The sequence below is a fragment of the Homo sapiens genome, chromosome 6 (genome assembly GCF_000001405.40).
Source record: "Homo sapiens chromosome 6, GRCh38.p14 Primary Assembly".
Lineage (NCBI taxonomy): Eukaryota > Metazoa > Chordata > Mammalia > Primates > Hominidae > Homo > Homo sapiens.
Window position 1 is genome coordinate 136173288 of NC_000006.12, and position 24432 is coordinate 136197719.

At 39.6% G+C, this 24432-nt stretch overlaps 1 protein-coding gene across 1 annotated transcript in view; it reads left to right on the forward strand.

Annotated features, from left to right (window-relative positions):
- Nucleotides 1-22287, forward strand: part of PDE7B (phosphodiesterase 7B) — a 343874-nt gene extending 321587 nt beyond the window's left edge. Inside the window, exons 9-13 of the mRNA NM_018945.4 lie at nucleotides 510-601; nucleotides 5710-5854; nucleotides 7940-8036; nucleotides 13749-13829; nucleotides 18327-22287. Of these exons, the coding sequence (NP_061818.1) occupies nucleotides 510-601; nucleotides 5710-5854; nucleotides 7940-8036; nucleotides 13749-13829; nucleotides 18327-18553 (642 nt within the window). The 3' untranslated portion in view covers nucleotides 18554-22287. The remainder of the gene's footprint in view (nucleotides 1-509; nucleotides 602-5709; nucleotides 5855-7939; nucleotides 8037-13748; nucleotides 13830-18326) is intronic.

Genomic DNA, 24432 nt, shown 5'->3' on the forward strand with positions numbered 1-24432 from the left:
CTGGTACCAAAACAGAGATATAGATCAATGGAACAGAACAGAGCCCTCAGAAATAACGCCACATATCTACAACTATCTGATCTTTGACAAACCTGAGAAAAACAAGCAATGGGGAAAGGATTCCCTATTTAATAAATGGTGCTGGGAAAACTGGCTAGCCGTATGTAGAAAGCTGTCACTGCTTCACTTTCTTTCTTACATTTAGCGTGGCCTGACTGAGCTATTGGAAGAGGGGCAGAGGCAGGAGTGAATGATGCTGGAAATAGATCCTCATTCAACCCTGCAGCAGAGGGTGAGCCGCAGGCCCTGCTGTTCTCCCATCATCATCACAGCCTTGAGACTAGACCTCATGGTTGTTTTATCTTTTGGGTTTTTTTTTCCTGGTCTGCCTCTGGGTCATCAAGTACAAACTGGAGGGAAAATGCTAGCGTCCGTGGAGCTGTGTTCAGCATGAAAGATCAGTATCTGGCTTCCCTCTCATTTATAACTCTTATTTTCTTTCTTTCTAGAATATGTCTGTGCTGGAGAATCATCACTGGCGATCTACAATTGGCATGCTTCGAGAATCAAGGCTTCTTGCTCATTTGCCAAAGGAAATGACGTAAGTGCTGCCGAGATGAAACATACTGATGTGCATGCAGTAAAGATAAGCCACTTTCTCTAGGGCAGGCTTGGGACCTTTTGCGTGAATGGCAGAGAGCCCCCCGGCTGTACTTCCTGCCTGCACTGAGCTGTCTATCAGAGGAGATTTGGTGTCAGTTACAGCAACCCAGAAACCAAAATCTCTCTGTGTGCTTTGAAAGGGCCTTGCAGAGTCAATGACCTACAGTCAGGAAAAGGGATAATAAACAGCTCTCAGTTTTCACACGCTTCAGTATCAGTGCTCGACTTTGCCAAATTCCCGACCTTTAGTTTAGCAAAATTGTCCTTCCATGTAGCTCCAAATAGTAAATATTTATCAAGAAGGAACCCAGGCATTCTAAAGCTAGAGTTCAAAAAAGTATATTTTGTAATTGCTAGTCTCAGCAAAAATAGAAGTCAGAAATTCTTTTCTAAAATGTCTTTTGCTAAGTAATTGAAATGGCCCTAGCATTTTTTTCACCAATTAATTTACCTTACGTCTCTTGCACTTTAAACAGAAGGGGAGACACTCATTTTCTGGTTCACTATTTGATAGCCATGGTATGTAGGCTGAGTCCCACTAAATCTGAGGCCATTGTTTCATTTTCCTGGTGGCCCCAAGTTAGCTGCTAATACTGTCTTCCAAGGCCACCATTAATTCTGATCTGTTTAATGAACACGTGCAGAACCCAAGAAACCTAGGTGAAAAGAGTACATAGATTGCTGTACCCTTCTTCAAGACAAGCACATAACTTGAGGTCAAGGACCAAGTGCTGTCTCCCAACTGAACAAGCAGTATACTCTGGGTTGTGGATTGATTCCTGGCCCTCTGATTTGATCTCATGCTGTTTCCTAGCACCCAGAGGAATGTGAAATTTGCAGGAGGAATTTCAGTTCTGATAAATTTTTACTCCCTGGAACTAAATAAAACCAGTTCTCGTGCATGGAATAAAAACTTATGCCTCTTACTAGAATAATAAATTGCAAAGATTGAAAGAATTAAATGCAAAAAGAACTAAAAACTAGAGCAAAAGATCAAGTGAGAAGAAGAAAAGAGGAGGTAAGGAGAGAGACAAGGAAGAAAGAAGGAGAAGGAAAGGAAGAATAGTGAGGACAGGAAAGAAGAAAATGCAAGGGAAATGGGAAAGGACTCTGGGGTGACCAGACTTCTCCTGGTCAGTACCTGCATTCATCCTGTTTGTTACTCAATATTTCTTTCCTAAAATATTCATTTCACATCTATGGATTCCAATGAAAAATATATTTTTATGTGTCTTTGTGGAACACAGTGTTATAAATTGTTTTTGCCAGAAGAATAATTGTTATACAATAATATATGTGAAAACTTTATTACAAAAGCCATTATCATAATCATTATTATTCCTTCTATCACAGGTAAATGCTTTAATGTCATTTTTCTGATTTTAAAAGTAGGGCAGGTTAATTGTAGAAAGTAAGGAAAATTCAGGAAAGTGTTAGTTTGAACTATGTGAAGTTGCTCTTTTTAAGGGCCAAAAACAGGAGACTTTTAGCACTTTCATATGTTTCAGCTTGATATGAAAGAGAAAACTGAAACTGCTAGTAATCCTGCCATCCAGGTATAGTTCATGTTAACCTGGCTAGTTTATTTTCTTTTAGTCTTTTTTCAATACAAACTTATTTTAACAAAATATGATTATATTTGGGGAACTTATTTTACAGTTTACGTCCTGAAATTTTTTATTTACAATAAAGACTTTTTTCCAAATCATTAAACCTGTTAAATTAAAATGATTTTGTCAGCCGTATGGCATTATTGTATACCACTACTGCCTTTCATTTGGAATTCAAATGGTTTCCAATATCCCAAACTTTGATACTCTGTTTTCTCAGGAAGTATTTGTAGATAAAAATTATTGGTCAGAAAGGTCTGAACTTTTAAGTTTCTTGTATATTATCCAGTTGTTCTTCTAAAAGGCTGTATCTACCTGTATTCCAACTGATGGATTGTAAGAAAATGTACCAATGTACCATCACCAAAATTGAGTTTATTTTTATCTTTTTAAAATATTTGCAAATTTGACATATATGTATGTATATACACAAATATATATGTAAAGTGGTTTTCATTAAATTAGTATGCATCCTTTACTTACAACCAAGATTGAAATTTTTCGTATATTTGCTGATCATTGCTATTTCTTTAGAGAACACATTTTTATATTTGGTCTCTTCCTATTTTCCTATCAGTGTTATTCATTTGTTAGAACTCTTTGTATATTAACTACAGTAACCATTTGTTATATGTGGTAAATATTACTTGAAGTTTTTAGTTTGCCTTTTGATTCATGAAACATTTCACCTAATTAAAATAATTTTATTTTCCAATTATAAATTCAGTAAGTATTCATATCTTCAAAGAATTCATATAATTTTGAGAAGTATAAATAAAATATCAACCATAATCCCATTATAGATCTTTTCAGTTTATTTTCTGTGACCATAGAGATCATGCTTTACATGCTTTGCATTTTGTTTGTAGCATTAAAAAGATGACATTTTTCAATGTCAATTACTATAGCTGTACATTGTACTTCATAATTGCACAATATGAATGTACCATGGTTTATTTAACTAATCTCATAAATTTTTGTGATTTTTTTCCCCCACGGAATGCTTCATTATTGTAAATAACAATAGAATACGCATCCTTGTAACATATCTTTACTAATTATATCTTTACTAACATGTTAATGTTAATTTGTAGATGGACTGTTGGTCAGATTATTTATGTTCATCAAATGCTTTTTCCACTAATTCCTAAATTACCCTCCAGAAACATTGTACTAATTTATACTCCCTAACAAAGAATGAGGGGAACCATTTTTCTCGTACTATTGATAGCATTGGGTATTACAATCTTTCAATAATTCAGCAAATTACTTAGCAGTTACTTTTAATCCTCACCAATAAAAATGGGAGAAATAATATCACATTGTGGTTTTAATTTGCTTTCTGCTATACTAAGAATATTTAATATCACTTTATTTTTTGAGATATTTTGTATTTCTCTTGTGAATTTTCTGTTTTATATAATTTTTTATGTTCAGAACTGGATTAAAGATGTAGTATGGCTTAAAAACAAAAATGTTTGTGGTGAAACTATAAAGCTTTTAGAATATGATGTAGGGAAATTTTCATCAGAGTTGGGAAAAGTTTCTTAAAGAGGAAAAAAAAAACTAGCCATAAATAAAAAGATTTATAGATTAAGCTACATTAAAAATTAAGACTTCCTGGTGGCACTGTGGTTCATGCCTGTAATCCTAGCACTTTGGGAGGTGGAGATGGGAGGATCACTTGAGGCCAGGAGTTCGAGACCAGCCTGGTCAACATAGTGAAACCCCCATCTCTATTTATAAATTTAAAAATAAAATTAAAATGATAAAAATTGAGACTTCATCAATAGACATCATAAAGACAGCTAAAAGACAAACCACAGACACAATATTTGCAACACGTAGCTGACAAAGGACCAGTATTTAAAATATGCAAAGAACCTCAGAAACAATAAGAAAAAGACAACTTAATAGAGTAGACAAAAACTAGAGTAGAAACTTCACAAAAGAAGTACAAATGGCCAATAAAGACATGAAAATATGTCTAGCCTCATTAGTAAACAAAATTCATATTAAAACTACAGTGAGTTGCATGACATGCCCATCAAACTAGCAAAAAATGTAAAGGGTAAGAATGTAGAACAATGAGAATCTCATCTGCTACTGCTGGGAGCAAAAATTTATACCATCATTTTGAAAATAATTGGCATTATCTAGTAAATTGAAGATAAACATACCCTGTCATCCAATTATTGCATTCCCAAATATAGACCCCAGGGAGACTTCTGCACATGCGTAACTAGAGGTATATAAGAATATTTACTGTGGCTTTTTTCATAGTAGCCAAACACTAGAAAAAACTCAAGTGACCATGAAAAGTAGAATGGATAATGGAATGGATTTCATTATCAATGGAATTTTATACAGTGGCATACACTGTAACAAAAAAGGATCAACTATAGCCTACACATCATGAAGGAATTTCAAAAACATAATGTTTAGCTAAAGAAGTCAGTCACTGATACATACCATATAACTTAAAGTTCAAAAGCAGTTAAAATTAAGTTGCGTGGTTTATAGATGCACTCACAGGTGGTAAAATCATAAGTAACAAGAAAATTGTTAAAACAAAGAGCAAGAAAGTGGTTACTTCCAGGCTTGAAAGGAAAGGGGATGTGATGAGACAGGCAACATGACCTCTGGGGTACTGGCAGGCAGTGTTCTTGACCTGAGTGGTGGTTACAAGGTGTTCATTTTCTATTTATTCATTAAATTATGTATGTATTCCCTATGCATTCTACTTAAATATATTTCATTTTTAAAGGTAAATTTTACAAATATTTATGGATTGTTCCTTTATTACTTTTTATATGTGAGGGAAAGCTCCAACTTGCTTTACCTTTCTAAGATATCCCATTTTCTCTATACCATTTGTTGACTAATATATCTCTTGCCCACTGGTTTGTAACAGTGCCTTAATTAGTTTTTGTGTTTGAAGTTCCAGAATCTCTTCCTGGCCTATGTATTGTGTTCCGTTGATGGATCTTTCCATCCCATGGTACCCTTTACTATTATTGTCTTCATTTTTATTACTATTGTTATGCCCTTTTCTCTCTCCGTGCACATCTTCATGTTTGAACTCTAAAAACACACCGCCAATCTCATGATTCTACAAGTCTTTTGTGTCCTCCCTAAAACATGCATTTCTATTTGGCTTTCAGATTTTTTCACCCATAGAAATGTCTACACTACCACAACTTTGTTTTTCAAGGTTTCAATCACTTTATACAGTTCTTGGCATGCTTCCTGTCCAAGGACGCAACTGGTGGGTGGGAGACTTGCTCTCAGGCAGTGAAGGACTGGCACATTGTGTAATAAACAGAATCAAAGGCAGAAATTAGATTACAAGCCACCTGATGATGATAAAATCAATCACCCTCATCAAAGGGATTTGCTTTGTGTGTGTTTTTCTCTTTCATTCTTGTGGATGCAGACAGGATATTGAACAGCAGCTGGGCTCCTTGATCTTGGCAACAGACATCAACAGGCAGAATGAATTTTTGACCAGATTGAAAGCTCACCTCCACAATAAAGACTTAAGACTGGAGGATGCACAGGACAGGCACTTTATGCTTCAGGTAAACGAAACAATAAAAGCCATTCTTTTTGCTGAGTGAAAACACTCAGCTGGGCTGGGTGTGGTGGCTCACATCTGTAGTCCCAGCTACTTGGGAGGCTGAGGCATGGGGATCACTTGAGTCCATGAGTTCAAGGCTACAGTGAGCTATGATTGCACCACTGCACTCCAGCCTGGGTGACAGAGTGAGATCCTGTCTCTAAAAAAACACAAAACAACAACAACAAAAATCCACTCAGGGCCATGATCAATAATTTTAGCACATTTGAGAAGGAGTTATCTCCGATGGTATGAGTTAGAGCAGTGACCTATTTTAGTAAAGGCTTTGAAATGCATGAAAGTTATAAGTGGTTCCCAACTAAGCAAAATCTGGGTTTTAGGTCAACAAGTTGATAAAGCTCATTTTTCTTGTTCAGTAACTGATTTATCACAGAGTAATCCCGCTGGATGCAGTAAAGGTCTACCGCATTTGGTGGCTTGGTATAAAATCAGCTACTGCAATACCCACACATTTTAAAAGACTGTTTCTGAAACACAAAAGCATATTATATTAACTATAGTACATACAAAAATTGGAAAACAAGTGACCTCCCTTTACCTTAAACCTATTTAACCTGCTTTATTTCCTTTTACTACCTAAACTTCTATTTTCATCTGAGTCTTAAACATTTTTATCTGGTCTTATTTTTAGGCAGCAAAAAATAAAATTGAACTGAATTGAATTACATTGGATCAAGTCCATTCCTTTCTGTTTTACTCCACGGCAAGAAGCCATTTGTGACATGACAAATTACATCAGGGCAGAGTGGATGTCACAAATAAAAATGTGACCTGGTATCCAAACCAGAACCTTCTTTCTTGATCTTCCATTTTCTCTTGTCTTCCTTCTTTTCTTTTGGTGCAAAAAAACATAGTGAATGGACCTAGACTCATCTAGATAGATGAGATGGAGCTACACCTGGAGATTGAATGGTGCAGTCTTTTTTGTTCCAGGCTTTCATGCTACCCTTTGTAGCTGTCCAAAGTGCTCCATCTTTGCCAGGAAATACCCTACTCCCAGCAGTAGAACTATGACTCCTTCCTTATTTCTTTCCAAACTAGGCTTCTAGTCCCTGAATGCCACAAGGATCAACCAGGTGTCTGATTTGAGTGACTAAAGCCAAGTTGTGAATAGCTGAAAGATTTGGCCTTGAACACTTGCATTTCGAAAGAAAGCCTTGCTAACTCAAATGCATTCCTTAAGGCAGAGGCTGGAGGAGGCTTCTCTGACACTTACCTCTACTTCAACATGTACTGGTACCCCCACTAACCAGGAAATAAATATAAACAACTAAATTTGCAAGTTGATATGATCCAAGGGTCTTCCAGACCCCAACATTGCTATCTGTTCTGTGATGCCAAGGAATTGGGTCAAACCAATGGACACTGCTGGTCTCTTGGTAGCAGGTGGTGGTTAAAAGAGAATCTGCTTCTCTGGGAATTCAAGGTAACCCTCATAGGGTCATCATTACTGACAAAAAGCTGGCATCTCAGATCCAGACCAGTGTGAGGCAAGTCAAGAAGGCCCTAATTTAGCTGTGCAAACAAAGCATTCCTGGGTTTGATACGACTTCATTCCCTGACTGGCAGTCTGAGCTTACACATGCAGACATAAATGCCAACACACATAATTTAAGTGATGTATGGGGTTTGTCAGTGTGGCTACTGTGAGAGTGAGGTCCAGATGACCTCACTTGAGCCTGGCCAGGGACCATGCAACCTCCCTGCATGCAGGAGGTGGAGCTACAGAAGGAGCCAGGCCATGGCTTTCCTTGGCCTGCCCACCCAAGTCTCTTCCAGCAAGCTCCATGTCCTTGGACTGTGGCTCTTCTCTCCTCACTGCTATAAAGCCAGCATTCTCAATGCAGGCTTTGTATCATGGTGAATAAGTGCAGTTTCCTGAAGAGGCATGTCAGGGAGGTACTCTGTAAATATGGGCCTGGTACTGTGAGCAGACTGAACAGCTTGATAGCCTCTTTGGCTTGGGGTGCTTTTGCAACTGAAAGAACATCCTCTCACAATTTCTCCCCGCCCTGTCATTTCTCAGATCGCCTTGAAGTGTGCTGACATTTGCAATCCTTGTAGAATCTGGGAGATGAGCAAGCAGTGGAGTGAAAGGGTCTGTGAAGAATTCTACAGGCAAGGTTAGTAGTGATCCAACAGCTGAGATTTCATTGCCCTGTCTTCTTTTAGGCATTTATCCTAATAAAACAGGAAATGGCTGATCTATCATGACATTTGTTCTCTCATCAACTCTTGTTATCCTAACCTTTCTCTTTTACTCTCTTGGAACTCATCCAACCCTTTTTCGGAAAAAGTTAAAAATAAATAACATTGACGTATTGACTTACTACAGAAACAGGTAGTAATGAGGCAAAATAAAAATGAGCAAAAGTGGGACATTGATTATAAATGGCTCTCCTCTGTGGATATAAGAATGTGTGGGATAGTTTGATTTTGACTTTGACCTTCATTTTAATGAGCTGAGTGCAGCCTAAAGGCTAAATGTCATTTGAGGTCAATGTTTTCCACTCTGACAGAAGGACTTAGACTCCTTTTGTATTCCTTCTCCTTGCTTTCTTAAAAAAAAAAAAATAATGAAATTGGACACAGCTGACCAAAAAGTGAGTTCTTCCTTTCAAATATAGTTTCAACAGTGAGGTAGAAGGATTTTGCTGTGAAAAGACAAATGGCCCTGAATTAGGGTATAATTTTTAAAAGATTAACCTCATTCAGAAATAAAGCAATGAATTAGCAAGCAGGATCTTGATGTTGGGTGGGGTATCAACCTTTAAATACAGCCTTGTTTCTTCAGGCTGGGTTTCAATGTGCAGGATGTTTGTTCAGGCATCAACAGTGCCCTCATGCTAGTGACAGAATCAGGTTTGAGAGGCTGAGAACAAATAAAGCTTGAAGTGTCCCACATACCAGCTCTGTGGGGAGGTCAAATAGCAACAGTGAGCCTTTTGGAGAAGGCACCATTGAAAGATGTGTCAATGACATCGTGATGGCCCCAAAGACAGAAGAATTGATTGAGCTCATGTGGGGCCAGAAGTCTCTACTCACTGTATCTTTCTCTCAGAATAAAAGTGCTCATGTAACTCCTACAATTCTGTATATAATTTCACTTGAATTGAGTAAAAGTGGTTAGAAATCAAAATCTCAGCTCTAGTTGCCCCTAAATAAAATCTCCAAGGAAGGTAAGACAAAAGGAAACATGATGAAATTGGAGCTAGGGGGCTTTAAATTAGATATAATCAATATTTTCTTTACTGTTTGATATGTTGAATATTGAAATAGCATAGTGAGAGAGGGGCTAAGATCTCTGTCCTTGCAAATCAAACAATGAAACAGAGGAAAGAGTCTACTCTAGCCCACTTGGTTTTGACTCAATCATGCCCAGCATGATTAAAGTACACAAGTCAGCATCGACTGCAGTGTAAACCTTTTATTTTCTCATCTTGCACCTTATTTGGATTCTGAGCACCTTGGGGCAGGACCATGTCACTTATGTAGATAGTAAGGCCCATAGTGCCAGTAAATCAAAGTTGTCAACTAAGTACAGTAAATGGTATCAACCAAGAAATGTAACCTATAAGATCTCTTTTCTTGGGCCTGGTGCAGTGGCTCATGCCTGTAATCCCAGCACTTTGGGAGGCTTAGGCAGGTGGATCACCTGAGGTCAGGAACTTGAAACCAGCCTGGCCAAATGGTGAAACTCAGTCTCTAATCAAAATACAAAAATCAGCCGGGCGTGGCGGCACAACCTGTAGTCCCAGCTACTCGGGAGGCTGAAGCAAAAGAATTGCTTGAACCCAGGAGGCGGAGGTTGCAGTGAGCCAAGATGGTGCCACTACACTCCAGCCTGGGCAACAGAGCAAGACTCCGTCTCCAAAAAAAAAAAAAAAAAAACCCTTTTCTCAAAACTGCTTATTGTCCTAGTAATATATGCATGCATTATAAGATGGAAAAACCTAGAACATTTGTAACACTGATCTCTAAAGGCAGGCTTCCATGTACCTTCCTCTGGCATGTTTCCTGGCAGAGGAAGAATAGAAAGTATATCTAGTCCTTTTTATTTAATAGCCTTATGGTCTAGTAGAAATTCTGCTTGTTTTAAGAGAAGATTATAGGCTGGGCATGGTGGCTCACGCCTGTAATCCCAAGACTTTGGGAGGCCAAGGCGGGCGGATCATGAGGTCAGGAGATAGAGATCATCCCGGCTAACACGGTGAAACCCCGTCTCTACTAAAAATACAAAAAAAAATTAGCCGGGCATGGTGGCGGGCACCTGTAGTCCCAGTTACTTGGGAGGCTGAGGCAGGAGAATGGCATGAACCCGGGAGGCAGAGCTTGCAGTGAGCCAAGGTCACGCCACTGCACTCCAGCCTGGGTGACAGAGCGAGACTCTGTCTCAAAAAAAAAAAAAAAAAGAAAAAGAAAAAAAAAAGAGTAGATTCCCTGGTCATCCAAACTGCCTGTCCTCCCTACTGAATTATTATTTTTTTAATTCTATAAGGATGACTTGTGTCATTTTGATTTATCTTTCAGTTTAAGATTTGGACTCATCTCAGCTCATTCCAGCCTGCTCCTGGCAGGCAGGCTTCCACAGACTACTAACTGTCCTGGACAAAGTACCTTTAATGTGATTCATGATGTTAAGCAAAGGAAAACCCTTAAAATCAAGGTTGAGGACACAGGGGGAAAGGAAAACAAGAACCCATGAATTAGAAAAACTGTTTCATTCTCAGAACAGAGATTAGGACTCCAAATACCATATATCTCCCTCCTCTCCCCGAAAAAACCTTAAAAAATTAGACTTTGTCCTCTTGTAACTACAGATTGATATCATCTCAACCTAGTTTCCTAGAACATTTTATTGAACATCTGCTTCCAGCCTTGTCTAATCCTCAACAAAACTGATTATCCTATGTGCAAAGCCCCATTGGAGATATTATGAAGAATGCAAAGAACTACAGGTAGTCTATGCTTTGTACTCTCAAAGTACTAATTAGTATAGTTTCCAGAGGAAAGAAACTATGCAAATTTCCCCTTTATATTCTCTACATTGGTTAGCAAAGTGTCTGAAACATAAACGTGTTGAATAAGTGAATGAATAAATGATCTAATTGGAAAACCTCTAATGATAGTGGTCACAGGAGAAGATCCAGTACCTTGAAAGGTAGAATCTGAGCTCAGTTTTGAGTGATGTGCATTGTTCTATACTTTCCAATATGGTAACAAGACACATGTGACTGGTTAAATTTAAATTAAAAGTTAATAAATAAAAAATAGAGTTCCTCAGTCTTGATCATATTTCAAGGGGCTGCCACAGTGGGCAACGTAGAGAACATCTCCATCATTGCAGCAAATCCCATTAGAGAGCGCTGGTCTAGATAGAATGGAATGGAAACCACTGAGGCCGGGATGCACCCTGCCTTGTAGACCAGCTCAGTCTCATAGAAGATAAGAACGAGAGGATTGTGGAGGCCCCTGGGCACCAGGCTACAGTAGAGAACATGACAATGGGAGTTATCTCAGAAAGTGCATTTAGGGCAATATATACAGTTGAAGTGGAAGAAGAATTGGAGGAAGAAAACTAGCTAAGAAGCAACAACTAAGAATAAATTATCAACACACCAGACCAGGTTAAAGCAGAGTGAAAGGGGGCAAAAAAAGTTCTTCTAAGAGGGAGAAACAGGATGTGAAACAAGATTTAAGAGGAAGAAACAAGCAGGGACCCTTGCAGGGTCCCCAGCCAGGCTCAGATGAGATGGAGGGTGAAGGGAAGGGAGAAGTCAAAGACAACTCCTCCAAAGTGTCACACTTGACTGAAAAATCACTATTAACAGAATTACGGAGGTGAGGAGTGAAACTGGCTGTAGGAGAGTTTGTCTTAATATTATATGGTGTTCTGGCCTGCCCTCAGAAGGCTATGATCATCTGGAGTTGAAGAGTTAGGGTGGCCAGACTGCCCTGAACCACTCAGGTTAAGCCCGAATGATTTCCTCACTTCAGCCTTGAGGATTACCAGGCACAAGAGACCCCAGGAGGCAGACTACAGTCTTAAAATGACAGAACTGCAGCCTCTGTAGGGCTTCAGCTCAATGGTTAAGTGCAGACACTTTGAAGCCAAACTTCCTATGCTGGAATCCAGGCTCCCCACTTTACTAGTGGTGTGACCTACTAGCAACATACTGGGTCAGCATTTAACCCTCCCTGTGTCTCAGTTTCTTCATCTGTAAAATGGGGATTATAATAAGGTTGTTATTTGGATTAAATTAATTAACATATGCCTGGGAGGAGGGCTCACACCTGTAATCCCAATGCTTTGGGAGGCTGAAGCAGGAGGATTGCTTGAAGCCAGGAGTTTGAGACCAGCCTAGGCAACGTAGAGATCCTATCTCTATTTAAAAAAAAAATGAACAAAACAATATTAGCCAAGAGTGGTGGTACATGCCTGTAGTCCCAGCTACTCAGGAGGCTGAAGCAGGAGGATCCCTTGAGCTCAAGCGTTCAAGGGTGCAGTGAGCTATGATGACACCACTGCACTCTAGCCTGGGTGACAGAGTAAGAGCCTGCCTCTTACAAAAAACAATGACAATTTTTTATTAACATATGTAAAATGCTTAGAACGTGCCTGGCACACGGTAGTCACTATATAAATGTTGTGTTTTTATCTCTTCTACTTTAGCAGAGTAGATTCATAACTGAACCTTCCACTCATTAACCAGATTGTTTTTTCCAACACAAAAATTACTCAATTTGTTATGCTCAGGAAGGACTGATGAAGTATTTCAATAAAGTTTTGTACAATACATTTCTCCTTTGATCTTCTATTAGGTTGGTGCAAATGTAATTGTGGGTTTTGCCACGGAAAGTAAGGGCAAAAAAAACACAATTACATTTGCACCAGCCTGATAGCTGACCAAGGCATTAAAAAAAAACATTTTGAGCTGGGTGCAGAGGCTCACACCTGCAATCCCAACAGTTTGGAAGATGGAGGCAGGAGGATAGCTTGAGCTCAGAAGATTAAGACTAGTCTGGACAACATAGCGAGACCTCATCTCTACTAAAAATAAAAATTTAAAAATATACATTAGCCGGGCATGGTGGTGCATGCCTGTAGTCCAAGCTACTTGGGAGGCTAAAGCAGAAGGGTTGTTTGAGCCTAGGAGTTTGAGGCTGCAGTGAGCCAAGATCATGCCACTGCACTCAAGCCTGGGTGACAGAATGAGACTCTGTCTCAAAAAGAAAAAAAGAAATACCATTCTGACCTTTATACTTTTTTTCACCTTCAGTTGCATTAGGTAAAATTCTAAGGAATCAGAATGGGAGATTCTGATTAATTTTGTGGTTACAGAGTGAGGTGCTACTCAGATGAGATCTTTCTAGTCCTTCTACCTCATTTCCTACCTACTTACTGTTCCTGGTTGTCCTCAGGTGAAACAAGACTAGGGTCAGGCAGCGTGAAAGTAGAGGAGGGAGAAGGAAGGACAAAACCTGTTTTCTTAACCTGTCACTTAAAGCCATAACTTTTATTTCATGTGAGGAAATTTCTCATTTGTTTTCTTGTTTTTGTAGGTCTTGTTCAAAAGTTTATTCTAGTCCCAGAGCACACCTACTAGCAATAAGCCATTATGAACGGTCATTGGCACTGTGGTATTTTAAATTTTTACGGAAACTACTGAAGTAAGGCAGAGCAAGTCGGTGCTGAAGGGTCCCTAAGGGATAACAAGTCAGGAAACAGTAATTCCCAGAATAACTTCTTCCGACGAGGTCATTAAAATTATTAATACTCATTTTATAAGTTCTAGATTACCAATGTGTTTTTTTCTTTCTTTCTTTCTTCTTAGGTGAACTTGAACAGAAATTTGAACTGGAAATCAGTCCTCTTTGTAATCAACAGAAAGATTCCATCCCTAGTATACAAATTGGTGAGTTGAATTCAGTGTTAATTCCAAATAAATACCTTTGGCACATCTCACAAAAGTGACAAAGAAAAGATCTAAACACAGCTTTCAAAAGATCAGCACTGGAGGTTTAATCAACATCCTTTTGAATGGCTGAGTCCAAATTAATACTTTAATCATGACTAATCTACTAGCTAATTATCTATTGAGAACTTATGAAACCTAGGATCGAAGCTTTGTTATAGGCCCTTAACTAACTTGTATTATTTTAATTTGGTAGTTTAGAATAGAATCAAAACCAAAAAGAGTAGAAGAAAAGTAACAGGAATCAACTATTCATACTCTCTGCAGGGCTTGAAGGTGGGAATCAGCAGAATCTGCCTTTAGGACCCTTCCAATCTGGGTCGCTACCCCTCATCCCTAATGCTCGCTCCCAAGAACCCAATCTCTAGGCCTAGAGCTTGTGAGCCATGCTATCCCGCCGCATCCTGGGATTCCCAGTTTCACTAGTCCTTCCTTCAAAACTTATTTTCAGGTTATTCTCCTAAAACCACACTCTCTTTCAAGTGTCACTGGTGGGAAACTGTTGAAGTATGATGCCAATGCATCCAAAATAATTATTGCTTTATCTAATTAAGTTATGCATTAGACCAAGAAGCAAATCAAACTGTGGAAATTTTAGGCACTTTAGCGGAGGAAATATTTTTGCTTCGGTAAGACTTTCTATCACACCTTAAGACACTCCATCACGTCCACCCACCTTTAAAGCAAGTCTTTCTTTTCCTTGCAGTTCCCTTCCATTGAATCCGAACTCAGAACTTTAACTCTTTTCCTTATAAACTCTGACCCTGACATGTACCAGTTCATGTTTTATACCTGTTCCTATAGACTTCAGACAGCTGAACGCATTCACAGTGCTACAGACCTTTGCAAGGCTCAAAGTTTAATGCTTTGACATTGGTAGGGAAGGGGGTATCTGAAAACATAAGCTGAAAATTAAGAAAACCAGGGTAAGTTAGAATTACATAATATCACTGAAGGTCAAATCTAATCCACCGTCCCACAGTGGAGTCATAAAATCATCCTCAGGAAATAAGGACAAAATAAATCTAGCTATAAAGATTTCAATGGAATATACAACTATTAAAATAGGTATGTTCGATTATTGAGCATTTTTTTTTTTCAAATTGTCCTTAATATTGTTATGTAGTTTTCACAATCAAACCAATTCCTCCACCCCAAAGCTGGGAGCTGGGGATGGTGGCATAGAAAAAATACAACCCAGAAAAGATAATACAGAGTTGCTGGGTGGCTTGCAAGGGAATATCAGCAACAGAAATGCAGCCTCAGCCTCCTGGGAGGCAATTCTCTCCTATCAATTGCCTTAGCCATGGAGGTTCTGCAGACGTGATTCAAAATTAGATGCTAACCAAAGTCCTAATCCTGAGGCTCCCTGTGTTAAGCTCCAGCTGGAAAGAAATTTACCAGGCAACTGTCAATGACATTTTGAACCCCCCAAACAAAAGGACTCACGTGGTTCAGCACACAACCTGGATTTGTGAGACAGACCTGATTTCAGAGATTCTGTCCTGTTGTTGTCATGAGAACACACTTATTTTGTCAGATCATATGTCCTGATTTTCAGCTCAGGAAAATGTGGTTACCATAGATACCTCTTTTAAAAAGGGGCTGGGGGTTGAGTGAATAGGGAAATCCTATGGATGCTACACCAGCACACCAATAATAAAGAGAAAGGGAAGGTGATTATAAAACAATCCTTAGTACATAGATCTTTCTCTGCCTTTGCTCCACATCTGCCAGCTCGTAGAGGTTGAGGGTTGGGAAGTGGGGTGGCAGGGACAGATCAGGCTAAGCCAGAAAAATCCAAAGAGATAAATGGAACTTGGTGGATGCTACAGGCTCTAGCCCCCAAGACAACAATTTTTCCAGTGGGTCTTCAGTAATGCAGCTATTTCCTCTGTCCTTATTCCTCTCTGACTGAAATGTTCCCCTGTTTTTCCTGCCTCAATCCAAAATGAGAATTTTCTGAGATCTACTCTCAGGCTTAGATCTGATTTTTCTTTTTAAGTAATTTATATCTACCCAAGTGGAACTAGGGCTTAATATCTCCTCCCCAACTCCACGCTTCCCTCTCTCTACCAAATTCTACATTTTAAAAGGAAGATATTAGCCAGGCGGGGTGACTCATGCCTATAATCCCAGCACTTTGGGAGGTTGAGGCGGGCAAATCCCTTGAGGCCAGGAATTCAAGACCAGCCTGGACAACAAGGCAAAACCCCATCTCCACAAAAAATACAAAAAAATAAAATTAGCTGGGTGTGGTGGCATGTGCCTGTAGTCCCAGCTACTCAGAAGGCTGAGGCAGGAGGATCACCTGAGCCCAAGGGGTCAAGGCTGCAGTGAGCCATGATCATGCTACTGCACTCCAGCCTGGGCGACAGGGTGAGACCCCATCTGTTAAAAAATTAATTAATTAAAACAAAAAAAGGTATTAAATCAAATGAAGCTCTAATTGGTGAAATCTATAGAAGGCTAAAGAGAAAGAGGTTTTCCTTCAATCCTTGTCTACTCTGAGGCTACCATTCCTCCCTACTCCCCCTTCCTCCCCGCAACCCCCCGTCACCCCACCATCCCTCCAGGAGGACAACAGCCCAGCAATGTCAGCTCATCCCTTGAGAAAAGGGAGGTTGGCAGAACACACTGATGGAACAGGTTTCCAAATCTGATAATGTGGAAGCCTTCCTTAATTTGAAAAACTGCCTCTTGGTGTCTATTCAGACTTTAAAATCAGTTTCCTACCTAGCATAAGAAGTCTTTATATCTGAAAGTATAAATACAGATATAGTGCCAGGGTCACTTAAGAAAATGAGGCTTTTCTTTTTTTCGAGTTGGATTTTAAAATGTTGGATATTTAACTTTTTTATACTGAGATAAACTTGATAAATATTCACACTTTGAACTTCAGAATAGTATAATTTTGCAAAGCGTCTTTTTAGATATCTAATATCTCATCTCTTTGAAGGTGAATGATATTAGAAATTAAATATGGAGATTGTGGAGGAGGTAAAGAAAATTCAAGAACAGCAAGCAAAACGTGAAATCCTCATCTGCTGACACCCTGTACAACCTTACCAAAATTCCAAATACAGACATCAAGTCACTGGTTTAACTTTCCCCCTCCAGTTCAGGTTCTCTACTATGATCTCACAATCTTTAAATCATATTTCACATAAGATGAGACAATGCAGAAATGTACAATAACAGTGTGTATTGCTGCATCCCTCTTCCATCTCTATGGCATTCTCAAAGGCCAAGTGTCTGCTGTTTGTCCAACAGAAAGATAATCAAACCTATCCTTGTAATTCACATGCCTGTAAACATACAGGATTAGTGTTGGAAATTTTTGTTAGGCTGAAAAACATTTGCCTTTCTCCCCACAGCTACACATCAAGGAAATACAACAAAACCTAAATAAGTCCAAGTTTGTGATGATTCCAACAGTTCTTAGACTGAAAGCTATCTTTTCATAATAAACAAGTCATGTTTATTATGAAAAGCACATTAACGCGGCAAAACGCGATTAGAAAGTAACAAATCTTAAATATGTAAGAGAACAGACATGCAAACAAAGAAGTCTCATATCAAACAATCTTATCTAGTCATTAAAGCTGGACTTTCATACAGGTAAAAATCTGTATTGAAAATGAGTGAACTTTAAACTTAGTTATTTAACATAACTGAAAGCAAGACAGAACTGTAAAATGATCATCTTGAAAAAGATATCCCACAGGGTAAGGGTATGAATTATGCAGCTGATCTAAATTCGTGAGGTGTCCTTTTCTGGTGTCATTTGCCCTCTCCATCCCTTCTCCGCCTGCCTTCTTTAGCTCCAGCATACACTTTTTTTTTTTTTTTTTTTTTTTTACTTATATGTCTTTCTCCCTCTGCAAGTAATAGCCAGTATTCACTGGGAGTTTACTATGTGCCAAGAGTTTTCTAAGCATTGTACATACATTAAGTCATTTAATTGTCATAACAACCCTACGAGTTTAGTATTCTCTTTAGCGTCTTTTTGCAAGTGAGGAAACTGAGGCACAAAGCCATTCAGGGACAAGCCCAAAGTGACACATCTTATGCTCCTAGGCTGAGGGTAGCCACCATTATCTTGCTTGCCCTTCTGGCCCCAGAGCTGGAAATTTTTATTAGGCTGAAAACATTTGCCATTTCTCCTCACTGGTACACATCAAGGAAATACAATAAAACCTAAGTAAGGCCGGGCACAGTGGCTCAGGCCCGTAATCCCAGCACTTTGGGAGGCCGAGGCGGGCGGATCACTTGAGGTCGGGAGTTCAAGGCCAACCTGGCCAACATGGGGAAACCCCATCTCTACTAAAGATACAAAAATTAGCCGGGCGTGGTGGGTCCCCAGTCATGCTCGGGAGGGAGTAAGGAGCGGGTTTCACCACGCTGTGATGCTGAGCCTTGACTTGCCTGTTCTAGGTTTCATGAGCTACATCGTGGAGCCGCTCTTCCGGGAATGGGCCCATTTCACGGGTAACAGCACCCTGTCGGAGAACATGCTGGGCCACCTCGCACACAACAAGGCCCAGTGGAAGAGCCTGTTGCCCAGGCAGCACAGAAGCAGGGGCAGCAGTGGCAGCGGGCCTGACCACGACCACGCAGGCCAAGGGACTGAGAGCGAGGAGCAGGAAGGCGACAGCCCCTAGGGGCCGGCCCAACTTAGACGCGGCTCTCCTCCGGCAGGGCCCCCAGAGGGCAGAAGCAGCGTGGAGGGGCCCTCACGCAGCAGCCCAGCCACTTTCTGAGTGTTGTCCTGGGGCTCTTTGGAACGCCATCTTCCTCCCACTTACCTGCCTCCCCTCCTTTTCGCAAATGTACAGAAGCCATTTGTCACCTCAGCATTCGCTGCCGAAATGAGCAACTCCATTCAGTAACGTGGGAGCTGATCCCACGGGCAGGCTCTCCCTGCTCCAGGAGAAGACTAGGAGGAAGAATGAGGTGCTCCTGCCGTGTCCGCCTTGTTCCGGGTCGCACTGGAACAGGCAGCAATTCCTAAGTCCGGAGCGTTTGAGCGTTTGCTATCTGACTGCTGATCTGCGTGACAGAAACACCAGCATATTTGCAACGCCAAGGATATTGGTCTTAAGTGCAAGAGCACAAATGAGAGTGTGAGAGAAAGTACCTTCTATTTTAATAATAATATTATTATAAAAATAATAAATCTTTTTAACTTTTATATTTTATGCACTAGACAATGGATCTGCAACTTTGGACTAAGGTCATTCAATGTACCCAAACTTGAACAGGGGGTTCATTGTTTTGCTATTGACTTTATTATGCCACTTTGGGGCAGAGACTTGGCATCTTCGCAGTTTAAGAAACCACGTTTCCTATCCAATCCGAAGGGAAGGTGCTGTACAGTTCATTCCTTTGCACCATTAGCCAATCTGTCTTTTATGGATTCTGTGACATGTTTATATTCACCCATGTACATTTTCTGTAAATACCAAACGCTACTGATTCCCATGCCAAAATACATGAGTATTATGGGATTGCTACCTGTATAAACAATGGCACTGTGAAAATACTGTTAGTTTTAATACAAGAGAATGCATTTGTAAATATGGTATAGAGTTTATTAATATACTATTGTTTGCAGATAAAGGCCTTAACTTTAAACATCTTTCATCTTCTGAAAGCTGCCCAACTTAAATCCTCATAGATGTCTTTCTCAACTGCCTTCCCATGTTCATCTGTATGTTTTCCAGCTAAGGTCACAAACCAAAACTGAATAAAGTCTTTGAGGAAACATTTTGGAAACTTCACATGCATTCCGCTTGAGACCATAGTGTTTAATCTATGGCACCAAGCATCGTTTCCTCAGATTAATGAGACCCTTCAACAAGCCTGAATCAGTCACTTTTCAACACAGCGATGTTTTAACAAGCCAGCTGCTAAGCTTGTGTTTATGTGACTCTTGTTACAGATCATGGCGGTGCGTCAGCCTCACAGGAGACATAGCAGGTCTCAGAAACCTTCTATGACCCTGTCATCTAACCATCAGGGAATTCCCTGCTCCCATGCCACACATTTGTCTATTATGGCTATAGTACCAAAGTACTTTTGGTGTTTGGTTGGTGTGCATTTCTTTAGTGTCGATAGTAACTGGATTTTTCTTTTTCCTTAATCTCATGTGAACAACTACCCAACTGTTTAGCTGAAGTTCATATTATTTAAGTAAAGAAAATATTTCAGTTTTATAACAGACTTTACCTTCCTGGCAGGTCATTGTAGTTAATTATGTCTCTAGCTTGGAGTGTCACCTTGGAATTTCGTTGCCATTTTTTCTCAGACACCTGGCCGTAAAATCAGTTTGTTACAGCATTCTTCTCTAGGCTGCTAAACGCTGTGCATTGAACCTTTTCTTTAGAAGTTTCAGCGTAACTAATGTTAGATGAAAATTGTTGATGCCCCTTTCTTTTTACTTTAAACAATGTGGTAGTGGGAGAATGACTGTTTCTGCCACTATCAACCTGATCCTCATGCTGATAGAATGACAGCTAGCACTTATTTCCTAAGTGCAACTGTTTTAGAGATTTTTCTCCTAACATGCAAAGGAAATACTGATTGGCCTATAATAAGTTCCTATAGGGAGACTGAGGCTTGCAGAATTAAGGTTCAGGGGAAATTTTGGAAAGTTGGTTGTATTTTCATTGAAGTAGGAGAGATTATCAGATGGTGCTAAAGAAAGTGTGAAGATCTTATGAAATAGGTGGATGGTAAGTTGAAATTATTGATGTGGGTAAGAAGGGAGGTTGTGGAAAGTTAACACTAGCTTTGTATTTTTTTTTCTGTAAAACTGTGAACTGATATATTTTCCTTTATCACTTTAGTATTCTGCAGTTCTCAGCTTGGTGAGGCTCCAAAAGAGAATATGTCAGATGTATTCCTACTTCCAAACCTGTCTTACTTTGGTTTGATGGTACACATAGGGCTTTTGAACAGTCTATTTTTAATGTATATGAGGTCAAATCAAGGAAGGCAATTGCTGGGGACAAGAAAAGTAGAGGTAGGAAAGAAGACACTATTTTAGCTAATGGGGTTTCTTGGGACTAAAAAATGGCTTTGTTTAAATTATAATTATATAATAATTTAAATAAATGAGATTGGAGGTATTCTTAGTAGTTCTGAGTTGATAGTTTACATTACAATTAGGTCTTGAAGAAGAGCTCACAGAGAAAAAACTACCAAATATCCAATGGGTAAGCCCATGATGTAGCCACTAGTACAATAAAAATCTGAAGTAAAATGAGGCATAAACTTGATGCAGCTGCCTCCCTCATTCAACTGGGGAGTTCTTGAGTTCCTCATTTGTTGGTAAAAAGAAAAAGAATGTGAAAATGTCTCTTTTTTTCTTGGCTATTAGTGGCTGTCTTGCAATATTTCAATAGGAGTCCAATTACTAGTTAAAACACTGGCGGGGTGCGGTGGCTCACGCCTGTAATCCTAGCACTTTGGGAGGCCAAGTTGGGCAGATCACAAGTTCAAGAGATCGAGACCATTCTGGCCAACATGGTGAAACCCCGTCTCTACTAAAAATACAAAAATTAGCTGGGCATGGCAGTGCGTGCCTGCAATCCCAGCTACTCAGGAAGCTGAGGCAGGAGAATCGCTTGAACCTGGGAGGTGGAAGTTGTAGTGAACTGAGATCGCACCACTGCACTCCAGCCTGGCAACAGAGCTAGAATCCGTCTCAAACAAACAAACAAAAAATCCCACAGCTATTGGATCATCCACAGATTTTTTCTTTACAATCTTGTTCTCCTTGTCCATGGACCATCAATAGTTGACTTGCCAGGTTTAATTCTTTCATTGCTTGAGAAGAAAGGAATCAAAGGACTGTGTGTAGTAAGCTGACGGTAAAGTTAAGATTAAATTAAGACAGAGAGAGAATACATATCACTGCCAGGCCTGATAGGAAAAATCTGCTCTTCCTTTTAATAACAGTGATGAATTGTCAGGACCTTATTTAGGAAACCCTGACCTACCCATAACTCCCTGCTAGGCTAAGTAGAAACCAGGTTATTTCTCCCTGCTTATGGCTCCCCGCAAAGGGACTTGCAGCGTGTCCTGCAACTTTGTCTTCAGATAGTGCTTCCTACAAAACTAGGTCTTGTTTTGTAATCTTTTCTCGTGTTGAATCAGATCTGCTTACTTATTTAGGTTTGGTTATGAGCTTGTATCTCACTGTATTTCTCATGCTTTGTTCTTTTAAACAAATCCTTTAAACTGTGTCATTTTGTATACACATGTGAGGTTTGAAAAAAAAAAAAAAAAAAAAAAGAACTACCTTGTGAGTTTTGCTCAAAATGTGGCCTAAGTAGCCATTGGCATGTCTAGATGAACAAATAAAAATAAAGATAATTTCTTTAAAATATCACAAGATGAAAATATCCTAATTCTCACCAGGTAACATGTTACCAGTCAATGAATTGGATTCAATAAAAGGATCCCACTGCTCAGGAGAGGAAACATTCGAGGAAAGAACACAGATGCAAACATGGCCCACGTGACTCATTCCACTTTGGGGGCTACAGAAACGCCCATGTCCATGAAGGTATCACCTGCTCGTTAGTGCCAAGTTAGGGAAACAGGGCCACCATTCAGCTTTACATTTCCCCAGAGTCCTGATATTTTTCTGACTCATATTTGTCAAACTCATATGAATGAGAATGAGGTACAATGTTTTAAGTTGTAAAAACATAGCCAACTCAGGGCAAGAATTATTTGTGAAAAATATGGTCTCACATTTCAGGATTACTGGCCATGAAGAACAATAGAACAGTTCAGGCAGAACTGTTCTATTCTAAATCTGGTATTCTAAATCCATCTGGAAATAGAGAAGAAGAAGAACACTGCCAATGTTTCCAATGTTTTCTTGTATCTTTATGTATTCTCCCATATTCATTTTATTAAGATCTGTGTTCAGAATCTCTCTGATTCCTTAATGACTCCCATGTTTGAATGCAAAGCTACTTTTTCATTTGTGGATGTTCTATATCACAAAGCTAATATCAAAAGAGATGCCCCACTAGTATTTCATGTAAAGGTCAGGCATGGCTTTCAAATGTACACGGGAACCTAGCTGAAACACTGTCAAATAGGCCAAGCCTACATGAGCACTTAGATTTCAATTAAAGAAATACTTATTGAGGAGCTACTATGTGCCAGACATTGTGCTAGATATTGGGATTTAAAAAGACCCAGTCCCTCCAGGAGCATTCAGACTTGTGCCAGAGACTGGTGTTACCTGTGAACACTTCTTAGAGAATTTGTGAACAGCTATGATTGCTCAAATGCAGCTAAAGCTCCCTCCTGGCATACAACACAATAGAAAGCAGATACACTTCCAACACAGAAATGGATCCCAATCCTAGTTCTGTCACTAACTTATCCTCTGACTAGACAGAAGTTACTAAAACTGCTATAAAATTATTTCAAGACAGCTGGGTGTGGTGTCTTATGCCTGTAATCCCAGCACTTTGGGAGGCCAAGGTGGGGGGGTGGATCATGGCGTCAGGAGTTCGAGACCAGCCTGGCCAAAATGGCGAAACCCCATCTCTACTAAAAATACAAAATTAGCCAGGCGTGGTGGTGGGCTCCTGTAATCCCAGCTACTTGGGAGGCTGAGGCAGGAGAATCACTTGAATCTGGGAGGCAGAGGTTGCAGTGAGCCAAGTTTGCGCCACTGTACTCTAGCCTGGGCAACAGAGCAAGACTCCGTCTCAAAAAAAAAAAAAATTATTTCAAGACAATATTTTTTATAGTATTGTTGTGGCAATTAAAAGAGTTGGCATACAAAAAGGCATCAAGCCTGCTCGCTGGTACATGGTAGATGCTCAATAGATACAGGTTCTCCCTTAAATTACAAACAACTTGCCAAATAGCCGTTCTTGCATGAATAAGAATGGGGAGAGTTTACAGTGGAGAAAACACAGTAAAGAGTTGGTTTCACATTAGGAAGTCAAACTTCTAATTAAGCCAGAGAGATTATTAGAAAAAAAAGTTTAAGTTGTAGCTGATAATGGTTTGAAAATGTAAGATTGGCTTGTCTTAGTCATCTAAGCAATGATGCATCATTGATTCCATTGCCTGAAATTCAAATTCTCATATTAAATGTGCTGATATAATCTTTAGTATTTTCTTTCCTTTTAAGGAAGCAGTGCAGTAGGGTTTTAAAAGCATTGTCAGGGCACAGTGGCTCACATCTGTAATTGTAGCACTTTGGGAGGCTGACGCAAGAGGATTGCTTGAGTCCAGGAATTTGAGACCTGCCTGGGCAACCTAGACCCCATCTCTACAAAAAAAAATTTAAAAATAATACATAAAGTGTTGGCTTTGGACTGGGTACAGTGGCTTACCCCTGTATCTTAGCACTTTGGTAGGCCAAGGTGGGAGGATCACTTGAGGCCAAGAGTTCAAGACCAGCATGAGCAACACAGCAAGACCCCTGTCTCTTGCTGTAAAAAGTAATTAAAAAAAAAAATGTGGGCTTTGGAGTCAGACCAGAATTTAAATCCCTCAT